General features: G+C 45.1%; 1 protein-coding gene across 15 annotated transcripts in view; it reads right to left on the reverse strand.

Moving 5' to 3' along the window:
- The window catches only part of C10orf90 (chromosome 10 open reading frame 90), a 245,697-nt gene that overhangs the window by 78,806 nt on the left and 151,283 nt on the right, over positions 1-15,608 (reverse strand). For 12 of the 15 annotated variants that reach the window (NR_146939.2, NM_001350922.2, NM_001350921.2 and 9 more), the window contains 2 exons: positions 10,046-10,137; positions 155-1,283 (listed from right to left, as the gene is read on the reverse strand). Coding sequence is in view for 14 of the 15 variants with exons in the window: in NM_001350922.2 (NP_001337851.1) it covers positions 155-1,283; positions 10,046-10,137 (1,221 nt within the window). In the remaining variant the exon portion in view is untranslated. Of the gene's footprint in view, positions 1-154; positions 1,284-10,045; positions 10,138-12,689; positions 12,731-15,608 lie in introns of those variants that run through there. The other 3 variants (XM_047424557.1, XM_011539217.2, XM_047424563.1) reach the window with 2 other exon arrangements.

Consider the following 15,608-nt stretch of genomic DNA (forward strand, 5'->3'; position numbering starts at 1 on the left):
GAGCTATCAGTTGTCAACTATGAGCAGAGCAGATCACTGCAAGTCTACTGAGAAATGCCTCTTAGAATAAGTTTTGTATAAGAAATTCACTCAACAGTCACCTTGCTAGGACATTTACTCAGGTCACCCTCCTGCAGATGGACGCACCACTCACCTGCCCTGTAACTCCAGCCAGGAATGTGAATGGACAGTTGGTTGGCATGATCGCTGGCGTGACAATGAGTTGTATGGTCCTTTTCCCCTTTTCTTACAGTGACTTGGTTAGCTCCCACATTTGCCAATTCTGTGTTTTCCAATGGAAAAGAACCACTCCAAGGACAAGCGCCGGTCCCCAAATGCACCCGCCTCAACGATGGGGTTTCCTTCAAGTGACTTTCTTGTAAACCTGGGTTCCAGCGCTGGCCTACGAGGTCCTGGTCTCCCTCCAGGAGCTCCTGCTTCAGGGCTTCGCTTATTGGCTCTCTGTTCACTAGGCCATCTACTCCATCTGCTGTTAATCTGTGGGAACTACAATTGAGGTTGAGCGACAGGACGGATCTGTGCATTTTGGGGCTGGCAATTTGAGGTGGCTCAATGGGGACGGAGAGAGACTTGTCTACGTAATAGATTGAATCTGGACACTGCTGAGACACCCTGAGGTGGACACAGGAACTGAACACCAGCGGGCTCTTTCCTGACAGTGGGGTGTCTGGAGAAAAACTGGTCTCTTTGTCGTCTGCATGGGTGACCCAGTACTTGCGTCTCTCACACAACCCAGTGTGGGCCTCGGGAACCTTCAGCCGCACCACGGAGCTGTTTCTGGAGAACTCTGTGCAGGCAAAAGATCTCTGATGCCGACCTGGATGGGCGCCATTGGCCAGAGCCGGGGGCGCCTGGAACAGTGTGTCCTCAGCCCTGCACTTGGGGCACAGAGAGTCCCCAGCAGTCCCCCACACCAGGGCGCGGGCTGGGGGGCCCACGCGTCTGGCCGTGATGGTGATGGATGCAAACCCTCTGCGGGGGCCCCCACAGGGTCTCTCCTCTTTGGGCGGCAGCTCTGCCTCAGGTCCTCGCTCATCTGACGGTGCCGGGATTCCTAATCTGCCCGGAAGTAACGCAAATGCTCTGTGAATGTTGACTCCGCTGCGGTTAGCCAGAGATTGCTTGGCGTGATGTGCACGAGACTGAGCAATGGCACACGGTAGGGGCAAGGAGGCCCTGTTTTCTCTTGACTTATTCTCATCAATCATCTGGGAGATGACTATGGATGAAATCATTTTTGTGTTTTGTGATGCCAGGGTCTCCTGCAAATAGAAAAAGATCCCGATTATTCAAGCAGTCTATTGAAATATAGACAGTAAACTCTCTTTCAAGGGCCACCAGGATGCCAGAGCACTGGGTTCATAACACTCAGATGTCTTGTCCAAGGCTTTTTACTGCACACCTGATGCTCAGAGATGGCAGGAAGGGCAGGAAAACTAGATGTTTATGACAAGTTACACGTTCTGGAAACATTGGCCTGAGTCATGAATTGGTTTTCTCTGCTGGGCATCTATTCTTAATTTATCTAATGATGTGTCAACGGGGATCATCTAATTCGATAACCACCTCCGCCAAGCCCAGGAACCCCTGAATACAGGCTCATATCCTCAATGGAGAGGAAAGACAGAATTCTGGAGGTGGCTGGAACTTGGGGCCACAGGTTTATGTGGGAGATTAGTCAGTAGTCCTGAAAGGAAACAGCAACGGTGGTTACCAGGAGCCCCCTCCCTACCTTGGTCCTTTGGAGTCCTCCACATTTGCCGGTTTAGACTCTAATTCAGTTGCTCCCTGCTGCTTGGCATCATGGAAGTCAAGGTCCAGAGAGCAAAACAATAGAAATCAAATGCCCAGCTGGGCATGGTGGCTCACACTTGTAATCCCAGCACTTTGGGAGGCTGAGATGGGCGGATCACCTGAGGTCGTGAGTTTGAGACCAGCCTGACCAACATGGAGAAACCCCGTCTCCACTAAAAATACAGAATTAGCCAGGCATGGTGGCACATGCCTGTAATCCCAGCTACTCGGGAGGCTGAGGCAGGAGAATCGCTTGAACTCAGGAGGCGGAAGTTGTGGTGAGCCAAGATTGTGCCATTGCACTCCAGCCTAGGCACCAAGTGTGAAACTTCGTCTCTCTCACACACACAAACATTAAACAAACAATCAAAAAAAATCAAATGCCCACGTTTGCCCAGACCAACACTATGGCAATCAGATGATTTCACTTATCAGAATTGGGGGACAGGGGACACTGGACCAAGGCACATGTAGCTTTGCTGCATTTCAATGATCGGTTGTATCAGTTTTTGTCCAGTATTTTTAAATGACCAAGGTGTTTCATTTTTCCTAATCAGCAGATTGTTTGTCCTAACAGTAAATTGCTCATGTGTCCAAAAGAGTATGCTATGATTTTTAACAAAGCATCTAACCAGGTCTATACTCATTTGTTTCTATTATGGTTATGTGTGAAGCACTACAAAATACAACATGGAAGATGGACTACACCCCAGCACTTAGTGAAGGCTAACAGGGTCCTGGCCCCCGTTTAGACGTTCATTATGGAACATGCTTACAATGAATCCTTGCATAGAGCTGCACAGGATCTGGAATAATATATGTAACCGCTAAGCTCCCACTGCTTGCAGAGAATCTTTGCTTTGGGGGCCTGAGGGCATAACTGGATGCCCAACAATTGCCACAGCAGCTCCCAAATCCCAACATGCAGAGAATGGCCTGGGATGTTACAACTGCAAGTTCCCCAGACCCCAGAGATTGATTCTGTAGATTGTGGGTGGCACCCAGGCATCTGCATTTCAACTGCATTTCAAGTGATTGTGATGTAGGTGATCTGGGTCACACACTTTGAGAAACACAGACAAGTCATGAGGCTGCTGGTCTTCTCAAGACAACACATTTTGGAGAGGAAGGGCCTATGTGTGTTGGAAGCAGGGTATTTGCTCATTCCAAGATGTGACAGCAAGCACAGTAGCATTTTTATTTTCTTCAGGGCAGGACTAATATTTACTGACTCAAATAATTGCATGTTCCCCACTAGCTGGACATTTGGCATGGCAAGTCCACATGGCTGCAGGAGGGCCAGTGTGTGTGTGTGTGTGTGTGTGTGCGTGCGTGTGTGATCTTAGCCACCTGAGGGGCTTTGTGTCCTCAGAGTCAGGCATGGGAAGATGGTTGGCTTGTTTTGCATGACAATCTCCATCACATTATATGTGGGTTTTTTAAAAAAAGGATACATGGGGCTGGGTGCGGTGGCTCACGCCTGTAATCCCAGCACTTTGGGAGGCCAAGGCGGGTGGATCATGAGGTCAGGAGATTAAGACAATCCTGGCTAACACGGTGAAACTCTGTCTCTACTAAAAATACAAAAAATTAGCTGGGCGTGGTGGCAGGCGCCTGTAGTCCCAGCTACTCGGGAGGCTGAGGCAGGAGAATGGCGTGAACCCGAGAGACGGAGCTTGCAGTGAGCCAAGATCGCGCCACTGCACTCCAGCCTGGGTGACAGAGCGAGACTCCATCTCAAAAAAAAAAAAAAAAAAAAATACATGGGGAATTGTACATTCAAATACCCAGAGATGAGTGAAAAAGAAGAAATAGACAGGAGAGTCATTTTAAAATTTACTTCATTTAAAAATAAATCAAAATATCCATGGCTACTTTTTTCCAAAAAAAAAAAAAAAGGTCAATGCAGTAGCACTGAGTCATGAAAGGGGACTTTCAGCCCTCTCTTTTAGCCCAGCGGCTACCTCACACTTCCCAATCACATCATGCGTTGCTTCCTTGAGGCTAATGCTGCTGGAAGTCCTGCCAGGTGGGGCTTCCTCACCAGCAGTTGTCAGCCCAGGGTTCATCAGTCACCTGGGAACTCATCCAAACTCTAATGCCCAGGCCTCATTCCCGAAAAATTACATTAGAATTCCTGGGCAGGGAGGCCCAGGCATCAGTGTTCTTAGAGCTTCCAGTGAGATTCCAGCCTGTAGCCCCAACATTTCTGCGGCACCCTGAATCCCTTCCCCTTGTAGCACTTTTTATGGATGTAGTTTACACATAAGAAAAACTGAAATGCACCTGCTGCCTATTTCACTTGGTACACATTCCCTCCCATTTTAGTTAAATTTAGTTCTGATCATAATTGTTCTTGTGTACCCCACGAGGAGTGCAATCATACCCAGTAGGAACTCCTTTGACACTGCTCTTTGAAGAAAAAAAAAAAAAGACCCACTTTGGAAACTGCAGTATAGGTCTTATTTTATAGGGCAATGTTTCCCAAAGTTTGCGCCAGGGACTGCCTGCATAGAAACCACCTAGAGTGAATGAGTGAGTGAGAGAGAGAGAGAGAGAGAGAGAGAGAGAGAGTGTGTGTGTGTGTGTTGGTGGGGAGGACATGTTAAAAATGCAGATTTCTAGACCTCTCCTTCCTTGGGCCTAGGTTGCTCAGGATCTATGGGGATAAAGCCTAGAATTTGTATCTTTCACCAGCTCCCAGGTGATTCTTCTGCATGGATATGGTGGGAAAGATGCCGGCCTAGGACTCAGGCCACGCAGATTTCTAGACCTCTCCTTCCTTGGGCCTAGGTTGCTCAGGATCTACGGGGATAAAGCCTAGAATTTGTATCTTTCACCAGCTCCCAGGTGATTCTTCTGCATGGATATGGTGGGAAAGATGCCGGCCTAGGACTCAGGCCACGCAGATTTCTAGACCTCTCCTTCCTTGGGCCTAGGTTGCTCAGGATCTATGGGGATAAAGCCTAGAATTTGTATCTTTCACCAGCTCCCAGGTGATTCTTCTGCATGGATATGGTGGGAAAGATGCCGGCCTAGGACTCAGGCCACCTGGGTCTAGCGTGGGCCGGGACTCCCATACTGGCTACAGGACCTTGGACAGGGCCTTTGGCTGCCACAGCTGCTAAGCAAGGAGAAAACAGGGGTGGTTCTCGGGCGGGGGCCTCCAGGCTTCCTCGTACTGTGGTCTCCAGTATCAAGAGAGTACCTACTCTTCAGGCTTAGGACACCATGACACCCATGAGATTGGCATCAACGAGGGGTGTGTTGCTGGGAATGAGTGAATGTCATCTCACCCTGGAACAACAGGGATGGGAAATACCTGACTCTGACTACACGTCTGGACCGAGCCCTGAAGCCACAGCCAGAGCCCAGGGCTGTGCATGCTGAGGGATGCCCCCAGGCTGTGCTGAGGGGCTGCAGGCCGGTACATCCCTCCAGAAGGACCTAGAGGCCCAGAGGACGGGATAAGGAATTAGCCACCATTTCATTAAGTGGGGCCTGGCAAACGTGACCGTGAGTTTTGACTCTATCAGATGTGAACGGATGAGGGAAGAGCAATCATGAATGGCATGAACTTCAACTTATTTCTGAAGCCCTGGAATCACTCAGGATGTCAAGGTGACACTGCTCCTGAGGCACAGATACTGACGAATGCCCAGTTCCAAAGAAAAATAGATTTGCCCTCTCAAAATACCAATGTGTGATGTAATTCTCCAGTACTCTTCCCATGACCCAGCAGAAACGAGTGGATATCTGACATAATCCAACCTACAAAGGAGTAAGAGGTGTTCACATCAAAGTGATACCATATTTCAGTGGAATTTACAATGGAATGCATTTGGGTTTACCTGAATGACATAAATAGAAATGACTCATTGTATATCCAATACATTGAAATTTTGCTGATAGAAATGTAGAAGTCATGTAATTTTTTAGGTGCAATTCTGTTATTCATACATACAGTCACGGTCAAACTCTTTAACTGTGCATTCCACATATTTATTTGGGCACCTACTATGAGCCAAGTGCTGCATTTTCCCAGTGTATTGTCTCAGCTTTGACAAAAAGTCCCCAAACAACAAACTCGGAGATATTGAAAAGGAAACACTGGCGGACTCTTTGCTCTTTAAAACACAGGACACTCTTGTATGGGAAGTTCTGTGTATTAAACCCTAGTGTCTCAGTGAGACCCATTAAATGATTGAAGATAAGGTCCAACCTCTTAAAAATCTATATGAGTTTGCCAGGGCTACCATAGCACCAAAGTACTACACACTGTGTGACTTAAACAACTGAACTAGTTTTCTCAGTTCTAGGAGGTGGAAATCTGAGATTAAGATGTCACAGGGTTGGTTTCTTCTGAGGCCACTCCTTGGCTTGTAGACGGCCATCTTCTTCCTGCATCTTTACACGGTCCTCCCTCTGTCCTCTGCTCCATGTCTGGGTCCTAATCTTTTCTTCTTATATAGACACCAGATTGGATTAGGACCCACCCTAATGACCTCACTTAACCTTAATCACTTCTTTAAAGACCCTACCTCCCAATGCAGTCACATTCTGAGAAAGTAGAGGATAGGACTTCAACATATAAATTTAGTGGGGGTAGTGGGGGATGCAATTCAGCCCCTAACACATCACTTTGTGTTGCATCCCTCTTCTGGGTCTCAGAAACCAAGAAGGGGATGAGATGGGGGGTTATTCAATGTTCCTAAGTCAGCCGACTACTTTTAAAACTGGGCAAATTTTCTCTAGAAAGTAATTACATCTTTTACACCAAATATCTTCTCAAATTAAGCTGTTTCAGGGTGACATTCCATCCTCCTTTCTACTGGGTTAACGAAACATGTCTTTACAAAGAGATTTCTTTCATCTAAAATAAAATTAACTGACATCAGATTTGATTTAAAAGGAGGATGAAAATCATCTCATATTTATGGTAGAACGTTCGCATTGGAGAGAGGTCAGATGAGTGGCTGGGTTTTGTGTCTTGCTTTGGTGAACCATCCATTTCCTGACCAGCACCACATAACACATTTTTTTACATTTTCTTTCTCATAGATGCTGCTTTAAGATATTGATTTCTCTTAAATGTTTCAAAGATGATTTTGTAGTGCTGGTAACTGCTTTCATAGTTTTATGCTTTTATTGACTGTTTTTAACTTTATATTTATGCCTTGAGGTATTTCTAAGAAGGGCATAATTTCATAAATTGAAGCCAGAAAGAGTCAAGTAGCAGATGATCAGAGGAATCGGCTCCTAAGCCACTGGAGAGGCGATGCCTCCATTCCTGTAGCAATTTATTTCTCCAAAGAATAAGGCTCTCCTCCCATCTCTACCTTGAAACCTGAATTTTTCCCCATTGCTGCTCTGCAGCCTACGATGTACTTGCCCAACAATTCTTTGGCTGCAGCTTCCCACAGAAGACTCTGCAGTCCTCTCCGCGTTTGCTGCAAACCTGCCTTCCTCCATTGAGTTGATCTGGAGCCATGGTCACTAGATAATCTGTCAGCCTAGGGGCATTTCATCTCGAATGGAAGCGCATTTTCCAGTGTATGAACTTGCTCTGGTATGTAGCAACAAGGGAAGACAGTTTGAAGACAAATGGAAAAATCTGAGCTTTTCTCACTCTCCATCATGAAATTTTGCCTTTCCGTGCAGTTACTGAAAACAACTCACTGCAGTGTGATATAGAGCAGTGAGAAGCCAGAAAGAATCTATTCTTCCCCCAATTTTTAACTTGTGGTAAGATATACATAACATTTACTCTCTTAGCCATTTTTAAGTGTACAACTTGGTGGTATTAAGTGCATTCATAATGTTGTACCACCGTCACCACTATCCATTTCAAGAGCTCTTCTCGTCCTGTAAAACTGAAACTCTATACCCAGTAAATACTAACTTCCCAGTCCCTTTTCCCCATTCTCTGACAACCACCAAGAATCGCTGTTTTTTTTTTTAAAGGTGGAGTGGGTAAGTAAATTATGACTGCACAACTGCATCTTATATTCTGCAGAAATTAAAAATACAAATTACAAATAATTTAAATGACATGAGGAATTGCTTATGAGGGGTATTATAAGAGAATAATACAAGAGAGCTACAAAAGTTAATATGCATCACAGTCTTATGTTAAAATGCTGGGGAAAATAGAGGAAAATGTACAGATATTTTCTTATTTATATGTTTCTGTATTTTCCTGTTTCTGCATGGGGTTGCTATTACTTTTATTAAGAGGAAAATTTAAAAAACTTCTTAAAGAAGAGAACTCCGTTCTGCATTTACTCCTTTTAAATAATCATTTGGCAGAAAAGGTGACTTCCCATCATTGCTACAGCTTGAATGCATTTTGGAAGGAAAAGTGATCAATCTCGTATGGGCCCTGGAGAAGAGGCGGAGACTTACGGCAGCCACAGTCACAGGGCAGCAGGGCAGTCCCTGGAGTGTTTCATCATCTTATGGCAGCCTTCTAGCGCACGCCCAGGGACAAGCTCTAAACCTTCCAAGTTAAGAGGGAAATTCGAGTCACCTACTGACCAAATTGGATAATCCAGATGATTCCAGAGCAGGTGGTCAGAAGGTATAATTTCCAGAGTTATTGAACTCAGTCACAGATAATGACCAAGCATGAGAGCGAAAGGGGCGAGAGAGAGAGAGAAAGAGAGACAGAAGTGTGTGTGTGTGTGTGTGTCTGTGTGTGTGTGTGTTCTATGTGTGTGTATGTGTGTGTGTCTGTGTGTGTGTGTATGTGTGTCTGTGTGTGTGTGTCTGTGTGTGTGTGTGTGTCTGTGTGTCTGTGTGTGTGTGTGTGTGTTACAGGGATCCAGCCACATAGCCACAAACATTGACATCAACATTAGTGACTAAACTCTAATTAATTTTTGAGATCAATAGGAAAATGCTGAAATTTGCCAGCTCGGTGTGAAAAACAGGTGACAAATATCCTCAGTTGATATCTTTCTTAAAAAAGTGTAGCAGTGGAGCTCAGCAGAATCGCCCCCATGCCCTTCCCTGACTCAATCTCTCTCCTCCTAACTGGCATCTCCACCCAAGGACAGCTCTCAGTGATCCACTGCTCTTTGCATTCATTTTCCTCCCCAAACCTAGGGCTCTGACTCCTGCTCCGAGGGAACAAATTAATTATAGCCATGCATCTTTACATCTTGAGACAGTGAGCTTGGTGCTTTCACATAGAAAGGAATTTAAATATTGATGAGTAAATCTCAGGACCCCAAATAACTTCCTTTCTCCATCTTGTGGGATTTCAGGCCCGGAGTCTCTGAAGGAAATGTTGAGCTTTATTAAATACGGAGCTAAATCAAAGTAATACCTAACACAAGCGTTTTGGGTAAAAAAATATTTTAACAGGTATCTTTGCCACTTTAATCTGTAGTGAGAGATTGATTCTTATAATTCCACTCTCTCTTAGAACTACAAAATTTGGCGGCAGAATCTCCATCTGTGACAGATAGCAGATGCCTTGTAAACTGTAACATCTTGGACAGTTTTTTAAGGTGAGAAAGTCCATACTGTAAATCTGGTTAACTCAAAAGGGATTTCCACCATGACAGTCCTTTAGAGCAAGCTAAGTACAAAAGCTCCAGAGCCAGGCAGGTTATACGAGCTGTGAGATTTGGGGCAAGTCACCTACTGAAGCTGTAGTTTTCTCATTTTTAGGTATTAATATAAGAGCAGTACCTGTCTTGTGGGGCTATGGGAAGGATTAACTGCATCAGTCGATTAGACAGAGCCTGGTGTATGATACATTGACGATATTAACCACTGTGCACCAAGCTCTTTTGTTCCCTACGATCTGAAATATTTCATTTTATAAATATGACCTCTAATTTTCCTCCCTATTCAGACCACTGACACTTTTTGCAGTTCTAACAACCTATACCAGCTTGTTAGATTTCAGAGTACCTCTTTCGCATCTTCAAAATGCTGTATGGCATAATTCTCCCTCTCTTTCTATGTCTCTCTCTAGCTGATAAATTTTAGTTTAAAATTGGGAGCAATTGCCATATTCTAAGATGCTGCAAGCTTACAAATTGTTGCTGAAGATGATAAAAGAATAATTAAATCTATAGCACGGTTAGATTGTTTGCTACATTAATTCAATTTTGACTAAATAAAATAAAATGCAATCACATCACAAGTAGGTCAGTGATTATATTTTATAGATGGGTGCATTTTGCTGACTATTCTAGAAGTTAGAAATGTATGTTACCTTGGTGAAGTCAGATTTTGCCTCTGTGACATCAGACTGGAGATTTTTAAGGGCAATTTGATCTCTTCTACTGTGGTAGCTGTCCCGTAATCCTAGGCAAAAGAAGATAATATTGCTACTTTTTAGTATATAAAAGGATAAAATGGAATATATAACTCTACTGTAAAATTTAATGTCACCTACTCACATATTCTATCAGCCAACAGTAAATCCAGGATAGTCTAACCATGACAAAACCTTGTACACTTCTCTTATTTCATGCCCTCCATTTAACCTCTCTGGGTTCGTTATTAGTTTATTCAGCTGCAAGATTTCTTCTTCCATATGATCGTTTGTGTCCCTTAGACTCAGTCACAATTGCATAATTTTAGCCCTATCATATTCACCAGTGTCCCAAGTTTATACTCAGCAGAAGAGAGACTCACATCTATAGATGTCCCAACATCACTAGAGCTAAGAATGGGTGAAATACAATACTGATCTTCATTCAGCCTCTTAATGCAACCATCATTGGAGGGGTCATGGATGACTCAGAAACTGATATGAACACTGTTTTAGACCCTCTGAGGATAATTTAGTGATCATATAATGACACACTCTATGTAAAATCCCCCACATGTGCCTCTCTGTGAGTATCTGCCACAAAGATAGCTAAGAATATTGTCAGATCCAACTGGACGGAGCAGTAGACCAAGAACTGGAGAACCGGGATTCTAGTGCTGGATGCCCCAAACACTGGCTTAATAACAGTGGATATATCTATGGATCTATTCTGCCTGAATTCCTCATCCACCACACCTGCCCTGAGTACCTCACGGAGTCCTGAGCAGAAGCTTTCTCTTAGCTGCAAGCCAGCAGTACTGCAAAGCCTACCCAGGGCTTACACAGCCTTACGCTACAGACCCTCAGCAGCCACAGCACCGCCCTGCGCCCCCCTCTCCACCCCCCATCTCTAAAAGTGACCTTTGTCAGGTCGCTAATGTAGAAACGTGAACCAAACACAGGGAAATGGTATGAGCGTGGAAGTAGGAAGCAAGTCCAGGAAGAGGTCCATTTTCTGCAGCCCAGGGTAACCACTCTGCCTCTGCAATGGAAATACTCTAGGGAAGGTGATTTTTCAAGGGGCTGTAATAAATGGCTCCCCAACTGCTAGTGCAGGTGATGAGAAAGAAGAGATTTATGAAAGCAGCTCCCTAGAGTTCTGCCTTTATCAACTCATCAAAAAGTTTCATGAACAATTTAGATATACAGTCACGCTCTGCATGACAACCTTTCGGTCAATGAAGGACTGCATATATGACAGTGGTCCAATAAGATTATAATGGAGCTGAAAAATTCTTATCACCTACTGACGCTGTAGCCATCAGAACGTTGTAGTATAATTGTTTGTTTAAATAAAAGTAGTGTAGCCTAAGTGTGTAGTGCTCATAGTCTGCAGTAGCAGACAATACTGTCCTAGGCCTCCCCATTCACTCACCACTCACTCACTCATCCAGATCAACTTCCAGTCCGGCAAGCTCCATTCACGGGAATTGTCCTATACAGGTAGGCCATTTTCTATCTTTTAGCCTGTATTTTTACTGTATCCTGTTTATGTTCAGATATGTTTAGATATACAAATACTTACCATTGTGCTGCAATTGCCTACAGTATTCAGCACAGTCACACACTATACACGTTTCTAGCCCAGGAACAATATGCCATACCATACCGCCTAGGTGCATAGGAGGCTATACCATCTAGGTTTGTACATTCTACAAGGTTCACACACCAACAAAATCCTCCAACCACATTTCTCAGAACATATCCCCATCCTGAAGCACTGCTTGACTGTAACTGAAAGCATTTTATGAGGAAAATAATGTGCTCTAATATTTTCAAGTTTGGAAGATTTGCAAAAGGGTCAGGACATGGCTTGAGGGAATTTCAAGGGCCACCATTGACCTGTCCAGAGCCTGGCTATGTCTCATCTTGTCCTTGGGTGACAGTGAGCGCCATCAGCTCTAATTCAGATGTGGGGCCCTGCCTCCATCTATGACTGCTATTGAGTGACAGAGACAGTTATCCAAGATGACGTGCACAGATTACTTTTCGTGAAGCACAAATATAAGGGCTGAAAGGTCTTTTGGATTCCTGCGCAGAGATGATGCATCATGATGAACTGACAATAAAGCTGATGAAGACAGAAATCACCTGCTCTGGTCATGTGGCATCGCATGTGGTTAAGAACTTTGGAGTCAACACAGGCTGAGGCTAGACAGGTCTAGGCCTGCATCCTGCTTGGCCCCAGGCCGACCTACAGTGGATGGGCTGTGTACCCTTTCTGAGTTTCTTCTTTTATAAAATGCATGCAATAACACCTCCTGCAAAAATGCTGCTTTGCCATCCGAGCACTGAGGATATCGTATGGAAAGCATTCGGGCAGGGTGGGGTGTGGAGTTAATGTTTGATAAATGACACCAGTTGTGATTGGCAATGAGCAGGATCAAGGCAGCCCTCCCCAAGACCCAGCTGGTTGCTATCACTGTGGCATCAGTGGTCAGAAAGCCACTGGAATCACACCACAGAGTCCCAGCACCTGAATCCCAGATCTTGTTACTCGTGTGGCTTTGAGCAAGTTACTTAGCATCCTTTGGTTCCTCACCATGAGATGAAGACAATGAGGGTATCCACTTCAGAGGGTTACTGAAAGAAATTAAATGACATAACCAGCCCTTAGTGCAATGCTCAGAACATAACAACATACAGTAAACACTAGCTTTGGGGAGATGCCTCGTCTCCAGCAGGGAGGCGGAGGGACTGCCATGATCAGATACACAAAGGCTGAGCATGAGCTGCCTGTGGCTGCTGCGACAAACGACCACAAATTCAGGGCTTACACAACACAAATGTGGTATGCTCCAGTTCTAGAGTTCAGAAGTCCAACCTGGCCTCACTCGGCTAAAATCAAGGTGGTGGCAGGGCTGGGTTCCTTTCTGAAAACACTAGGGAAGAATTCTCTTCCTTGCCTTTTTCAGCTTGTAGAGGCTCACAGCCCCGCATCACTCAAACTTCTGCTTCCAATATCACATCTCCTTATCTGACTCTGACCCTTCTTCCTCCCTCTTGTAAGGACCCTTGGATTAGATTGGGCCCACCTGGAAAATGCAGGCTACATTCCCCATCTCAAGGTTATTAACTATATCTCATTTGCCAAGTCCCTTTGGCCAAAGTAACATATTTATAAGTTCCAGGGATTAAGACATGAACATCTTTGGGGGTGGAGGGGACATTATTCTGCCCACCACAGACTAGTTGGGGAGATGGAGGTAGATGTGTTGGATGTAATGTAGGGCCTTTAAAATAAGGAATATAAAGTCTACATAGCAACATGAGAAAGTGCTTACAATGCTATGTTTATCAAAAGAAAGAAAAAGCCTATGAACCACATGACTGCAACATTTAAAAAGTGTGTGTAGGAATCTAAAAAAATAGTAAAGTTGTAACTGCATCAAGAAATTGCCCTGGTTAAAGAAACGGGCAGAGGGTGTGCAGGCCCTGAACACAGCAGCATACACACTAAATAGGGCTTTGTCTCTAACTTAACTTCACTGATTCCCATGCCCCTATCTGTGAAATTAGAATATGCAGTCAAGACTGTCTGAGTCCTGCCCTTTGCTGGGGAACTGCCCCATACCCCAGCTATTGGGAGAGTGACTGACAATGGCTCATAGCTTCACTCTGAGAATGACCCTCCACGTTGAAGCATGGCCCAGGATGACTCTTAGGAATACAAAGGTTGGGGCCAGGGGCAGTGGCTCACACCTGTAATTCCAGCACTTTGGGAGGCCAAGGCAGGTGGATCATGAGGTCAAGAGATCGAGACCATCCTGGCCAACATGGCGAAACCCCGTCTCTACTAAAAATACAAAAATTAGCTAGGCATGATGGTGTGCATCTGTATTCCCAGCTACTCAGGAGGCTGAGGCAGGAGAATCGCTTGAACCCAGGAGGTAGAGGTTATAGTGAGCTGAGATCACGCCATCGCACTCCAGCCTGGCAACACAGTGAGACTCCATCTCAAAAAAAAAAAAAAAAAAAAAGGAATACAAAGGTCAGGACAACTCTGCCTTTTATGCTCCAGAGCAAAAACCAAAATGCCTGACTTCATCTGAGATGACATCCTTGCTTGGCTCTTTCCCCTTCCTTATCAGGTTTCCCTCACTCTTGTATGTTTTTTTTTTTCCTGAAGAGCAGCCCAGCCCCACTGCCCTCAATCCCTGCCTCAGGCTCTGCCTTTTGGAAACCTGACCCGAGACAGGGTCCTACCCCGCATTGCTGTTCAACAGCAAGGGCTCCCAAAATGTGGCCCCCAGACCAGCAGCATCCACACGATGGGGGCACTTGTTGGAAATTCACATTCTTGTGTCTCACATACTGACCTGCAGACCTAGCAAATGAGGAGTTTTGAGGAGGCTCAGCCCTGTGCTTTAGCAAGCATTCCAGGACATTTGGCACAGCTCAAGTCCAGCAGTGCTTGTTGATCTAAGACAGCTTAAGACATCTTTTACAGATGGTGAGTCTGAAGCCCCAGAAGAGAATCATAATGCTTTGATTCAAAAACCACTCCACGACTTTTAGAAAAACCACACCTAGTCTGTGGGCATGGGAATCTCAATGAGGCTTTTCACCAATGGTTTCAATTCAAATAAAACCGTCATAGAAAAAAAAAACAAACATCATGAGAGCCAGCATGCTTTTATTTTGAAAGTAATTAAAAACCAGCTCAATTAACCACCCAAAGTTATTGCTGGTTCATGACTCACTTGTGTTTGCTGCCCAGCACGCCTGCCCTCTGTGCCCAGGGAGTGTGTGTGCTCACTAGTAGGTGCTAAGAGCTCTTCTCTCCTAAGATGACTGGAAGGATTGCACCCGCTGCTGTCTCCATCCGCCTGAACCACACATCCAAAACCATTCCCCACTTTCAGCCCCTTCCCAGAGACTACAACCACCATGACTGAACACACCACAAGGCCCTGAGTCAAGTACTTCCAGAATCCCGGTTTTCTGCCTGGAGGGCGGTGTGTGTTTCAGCAACAGAATCCAACTGAGCAGGAATTTAGGCAGTGCTCAGGGTGTGTGGGGCCCTGAGCTGAGAGATAAAGGTGGGAGAGATGCTTTCTTTTTCCAGCAACTCTAAGAGAAAGTCACGGCTTTGCTATCCCCAGCCTTGATAAGCCACGGACAGAGCCCTTCCAGCAGAGGGAACCAGGAAAAGTTGGTGGGAGGGAGGAGACACTTGACATGGCCTTGTCAGATGGGGTTGGGTTTAGATAAAGGTGAACAGAGTGGAGAGGGATGGTGGCATAGCCCAAGCCACAGTCAAAGGGACAGGCAGAAATGGCTTAAGATAAAGTATGAAAGCAGAAAAACCCAGCCTATTTGGAGAATAGCAAGTAGAATATTGGGTGAAGCATAGAATATGGTTAAAAATTATGTCTAATTCCAATCTGTTGCCCAATACCGCTTGGCTTATCTCTACAAAAGTAGCAGACAAGCACCATCATGTATTGCCTCATGAATC

This window comes from Homo sapiens, chromosome 10, assembly GCF_000001405.40.
Source record: "Homo sapiens chromosome 10, GRCh38.p14 Primary Assembly".
NCBI lineage: Eukaryota > Metazoa > Chordata > Mammalia > Primates > Hominidae > Homo > Homo sapiens.